Raw genomic sequence first — 6113 nt, 5'->3', positions numbered from 1 at the left:
GTTTTGGTGGTAACAAACTACATCCAAACCATAATACTGGTATAAACAAACCTACAGCACTGCCAGTTATACACAAGCACAGCACATACAATTATGAAAGGCATGCTATATTTGATGATGGTAAATAACTATGTTATTGGTATAGGTGTTTACTGTACTATATTTCTTATTTTTATTTTGGAGTGTAGTCTTTCTACAAAAAAAAAAAAATATTTAACTGTAAAACAGCCTCAGACAGGTCCTTCAGGAGGTATTCCAGAAGAAGGTATTGTTAGTATAGGAGATATGAAAATTCCATGCATGTTATTGCCCCTGAAGACCTTCCAGTGGACCAGATGTGGAGGTAGAAAACAATAATATTAATAATCCTGATCTTGTGTAGGCCCTGGGCTAATGTGTGAGTTTGAGTCTTAGTTTTTTTACAAAAAGTTTAAAGAGTGAAAATAATGAACTTACAAATTAGAAATGGGAACAAGCTTATAGCATAAGGATGTAAAGAAAGATAATAATTTTGTACAGCTCTATAATATGGTTGTGTTTTAAGCTGTTATTACAAAAGAGTTAAAAAGTTAAAAAATTTATAAGGTAAAAATGTCGCATAAGCTAAGATTAATTTTCTATTGAATACAGAAAAATAAATATTTTAATAAATTTAGTGTAGCCTAAGTGAACACTGTTTATAAAGTCTAGAGTAGCATGCAGTAATGTTCTGGCCCTTCACATTCACTTACTGACTCACTCACTCACACCACTCACTCACTAACAGTCCTGCAAGTCCCATTTATGCTGAGTCTCCTATACAGAAGTACCATTTAAAAAATATTTTGTACCATATTTTTACTGTGCTTTTTCTATGTTTATATATGTTCAGATATACAAACACTTACCATTGTGTTATAATTGCCTACAGTATTCAGTAGAGTAACATGACATCCAGGTATTTAGCCTAGGAGCAATAGATGACATATAGCCTAGGTGTGTTGCAAGCTCTATGGTTGCTCTATGGTTTGCATAATGACGAAATCACTTAATGATACCTCTCTCAGATCATATCCTGTTCCTGAAGTGATGCAAAACTCTGTTTTAATATCTGAAGTAAATTGTCTACATATGCATTTATGTATTTACATGGGTTTACCTGTATTCTAACTAAATGAATTAAAACATTAGTTTGTCCTACTAAGGAGATGAAAAACCATAAAAATTACTTATAGCATATAACAGAATGTTTTGAAATATGTATATATTATGGAATGGCTAAAACATGCTGAATACCTCCTGAAAGACCTGCCTGAGACTGTTTACAGTTAACTAATTTTTTGTAGAAAAAGTACACTCTAAAATAAAAATAATAAATACAGTACAGTAAATACCTAGACCAATATTATAGTCATTTATCCTCATCACATTTCATGTGTTGTACATAATTATATGTGCTATACTTGTGCATGACTGGCAGTGCTATAGGTTTGTTTACACCAGTGTTATGGTTTGGATGTAGTTTGTTACCACCAAGGCAACAAATAACTTGAGTCAGAAAAAAAAATGTTGCTTGTCATACAACACAGAATTAGTACACAATATACAACGTTATCAAATATTTGCTTAACCTATTTTAAGACTTTTTAATAATTGCTTAGGAAATACAGTATAAAATTAAGTAACATGAAGAAAAGACTTTTTTTCTTTCTTTTAATTGATAAATACAAATTATTTATTGTATATCGCAGAATGTCTTGAAATATGTATACATTGTGGAATGGCTAAAACATGCTGATTGGTATATGTATTATCTCACATAGTATTTTTTGCAGTAGTAAAACTTAAAATCTACTCTTTTAGCAATTGTCAAATATGCAATAAATTTTATTAACTGTAGTAACCAGGCAATACAATAAGTCTTTGGGACTTATTCCTCCTTACTGAAATTTTGTCTCATTGACAAACATCACCCCAATGTCCCTTCCTCCCCCCCAACCCTTAGTCGCCACCATTCTACTCTCTGCTTCTTTAAGTTCAGTTTTTTAAGATTCTCCATATGAGTGAGATTGCAGAATGTTTGTCTTTCTGTGTCTGGGTTAGTTCACTTAACATAATGTCTTCTAGGCTTATTCATGTGATAAATGACAGAATTTCCTTTTTATGGCTGAATAGTATGACATATACATATCATATTTTCCTTACTGATTCATCCTTTTATGGACACTCAGGTTGATTCCATACCTTGGCTATTGTGAATAATGGGGCAATGAACATGTGAGTGCAGCTATCTCTTCAATACAGTGATTCAGTTTTTTTAGTGTATATTCAGGAGTGAGATTGCTGGATCATATAGCATTTATAGTTTTAATTTTTAGTGGAACCCCCAACAGTTTTCCATAATGGCTTTCCTAATTTACACATCCGCAGACAGTGTACAAGGATAATTTTCTGAATATTATCAGCTCTTATTTCATAATCACACAGTGCATGTGTAAACTTAAATCATACATTTGAAATGAGACAAAAATGAACTAGAACACTTCATAAGTCAGAGAAAGTGAATTTATAGATCAATGTGTTTAATGAGTCTTATATTAAAAATGTATGCTGTATAATATCAATTCACCATTTGAAACATTTAGATAAAATAAAATGATAATAACAACAATAACAAAAATACACTTTCTGTACTATAAAATCTGGCCTACATTAGAGAGCTCTAAGAAAAGTAATAAAATATCCTTCATCCTCAGATGCTTCCAAACTCATAATGAGGCCAATTAATCTCGCAAAGTTTTGTTCAGTTTCAACTGAAGGCAATGAATTGAGTGATGTAAAAAGAATGATAGACTTTTCTGCCCTCCAGGAGATCTCAACTTACTGACAGGGGTGTGGGAGGATAATAATGCAACTAAAAACTCTAATGAGCAACGTAGTGGCACAAAGAAATTTCAAGATGAGAACAAGGAGGGTGAATTTAACTCTTATATGAGTGGTTCAATATGGAAAGGTCTTATAAAGTGACTATTTTTATAGAGGATTTTGAAAAATAAGTTGATGTTTACTAAGCAGACATTGCTACAGTGACGTGAACAGAAGATGGATGCATCGTCTTCTGACAGAAAAGAATAGAATGAAAAAAATCAAGTGGCAAAATAACCTCTAAAAACCAGGATTGTCTACTGCAGCTTTTGGGGAATGTGTGTTGTGTGTCTGTGTGTGTGTCTGTGCACGTGTGTGTACACGCACAGAATTCTGCTGGGTTTAACAACTGTTGTCTGTGTTTAAAACTATAAAAATAAAAAACAATAAGATTTACTATGTTTGCTAAGTTCTTTGGTATCATTGCCCACCATCTCTGATGTTACTGAATGCATATTTGGGATGAGATGCACAAAACTGGCTTTTATATATGAATTGATTTCAGTTTACCAGAATGTTTTCCTTTATGTGTGTGTCTGTGTTTACATGTACCAGGGGCAGAGAAGAAGTAAAGGAAGGAGTGGGAAGACATAACATTTAGCATTGGGGTCAGGTACATATAACAGAAAACTGTTGAAAAAATACAAATTAATTTTTCAATCACATAAAAAATATTCTGAAGTTAGCAGTCCAGGGCTCATATGGTGGTTTCTAGAGAGATCCAGCATTCTTCTATCTGCTTTATTGTATTTATAAATCAGCTTCAAAAATATATTTCCTAAAAAAACCTCTTGATCCAAAAAGTTTCCTGAAGCTCAATCATCATGCGTATTTGACAGGCTGGAAAAAAAAAGTTTAAAAAAATAGAAAGAAAGAAAAAAAGCACAGAGGTGCAAATTTGTATAAGAGAATTTTTAGAATACCTATCTGAGGTATGAGGTAGAGCTTAACTCCAGAGGCAGGTCTCTGACACTGGACCAAATTGAGAACTAGGTCTAAAACAGGTCTGGGACAGGAGCACCTCCTCAGAAGACAGGCCCACCAGTATGTCATGTCAGTTTGTCATTACCATGGCAACACCAGGAACTTACTGCCCTTTTCCATGGCAATGATTTGACAACCCAAAAGTTACCACCCTTGTATCAGTCAGGGTTCTCTAGAGGGACAGAACTAATGGAGTAGGTATATATATATATAAAGGGGAGTTTATTAAATATTAACTCACACAATCACAAGGGCCCACAATAGGCCATCGGAAAGCTGAGGATCAAGAAGAGCCAGTCAAAGCCCTAAAACTGAAGAACTTGGAGTCAGATGTTTGGGGGCAGAAGCATCCAGCACGGGAGAAAGATGTAGGCTGGGAGGCTAGGCTAGTCTAGTCCTTTCATATTTTTCTGTCTGTTTTATATTTGAGCCACGCTGGCAGCTGATTGGATGATGCTCACCCAGATTAGGGGTAGGTCTCCTTTCCCAGCCCACTGACTCAAATGTTAATCACCTTTGGCAACACCCTCACAGACACACCCAGGATCAACAGTTTGCATCCTTCAATCTAATCAACTCGACACTCAGTATTAACCATCATGACCCTCATCCTAATAAGTTCAGCATAAACTTCCCATTAATTTGCATATGATTGGAAGTTGGTATAAATGTGACGGCAGAACTGCCTCTGAGCTGCTTCTCTGGGCACACTGCCTATGGGGTAGCCCTGCTCCATAGGAGCAGTACCTCTGCTGCTGCTATACATTGCCGCTTCAGTAAAACTTGCTGTTTAACACCACTGGCTCACCCTTAAATTCTTTCCTGAGTGAAGCCCTAATTTGGGGGCATGCCCATCCTCCACCTTCTAGCAACCATGAAGTGATGAAGACAGTGGGAGTTAGGAGTTCCCAGACTCTTGGCCTGAGGAACAGCCCCCTATAGTTGTAGACCTGTTGCCATCCGAATTTTTTTTGGTGTCTCCACTACTTGGTAGCTTTGCTGGCAAGTCAGAGCCTCTGAGATGTCCCCTTGGGCAATGCTGTTTGCCACTTTCTTTCCACCCTTCCACAGTCAACATTTATTTAGCCCCTCTCTGCCCAATCCTTGCTCTCTAAGGAATTTAGGCTCAACATCCAACTCTTCATTTGTAGCTCACAATGCACTTTTGTAACACATTGCCCTCTATATGTTATAGAAGGTGGAAGATTAAAAGGAAAAAATAGCAAAGGCCCAGTTGCTTTCCTTCTTGCTAGACTTAGGAAAATTCTGCCCCTAATAAAAATTGTTAGTCATGGAGACAATGAGAAGCACCCCAGAGGACTAGTCACTAGTGTATCCTTTAGGCTTTTGGAGCAAATTCAAATTCAGTTTAAAGAAAAATAAACTCATTTGTCTATTGCAACACCATTTGGATTCAATAAAAATTAAAAAATCAATAGATTAGTCCTAAATATGGTTCTATATGATATGATGGCATGTTACTATTTGACTTACTTTGTAAATAAGAAGGAAAATGGGAAGAGGTCCCTTACGTACAGGCTTTTATGGCCCTTTACTGGCTCACATTACTTCTGGGCACCAGAAATCCATGCCTAAGGGATGCCTTCCTAGCTGCTCCCTTTGAAACGCCTACACCCTCTGCAGGGTCTCCTCATTCCTCCAATTCTGAGGGGGGTCCAAGCAGTTCTTTAATGAAGGATTCCATCCCAAGGTCATCAGAACAACCTACCCCTTAATCAACTAGCCCCAACCTGTACCTCCTGCTTTCCAAGAAAGTAAGACCAACCAGTATCACCAGAAGTGGGCCCCATATCAGTCCCTAAAGTCAAACCTGTGTCCATTGTGGAAGGTAGCTAAAGGAAGTGAGGAAACACTTGAATACTTATGCCATTTTCTATGTCTAATTTAGCTGTATACAAGGAAAAATCTGGACAGTTTTGAGAGAATCCAGAAAAATTTATAGAGGAGTTTGTTAAGTTTACCATATTCTTTGATTTAACTTGTCATGACTTACAAATATTGTCATCTGCTTCCTGTGCTGTGGGAAATAAGTAAAGAAAAAAATTGTGTGATTAAGCCAGTCAGTTATGACAGGTTAGATAAATAATTCAGGGAAAATGTGAAAATTCCTCTTTGTTTCAGGATCATTTGATTGAGGCATTCAGGGAATATACTAATGCAGACCCAGACTACCCAGAAGGGCAAGCTCTCCTTGGGGATACATT

This window comes from Homo sapiens, chromosome 5 (genome assembly GCF_000001405.40).
Source record: "Homo sapiens chromosome 5, GRCh38.p14 Primary Assembly".
Lineage (NCBI taxonomy): Eukaryota > Metazoa > Chordata > Mammalia > Primates > Hominidae > Homo > Homo sapiens.
Note: the sequence above shows the minus strand (reverse complement) of the source record.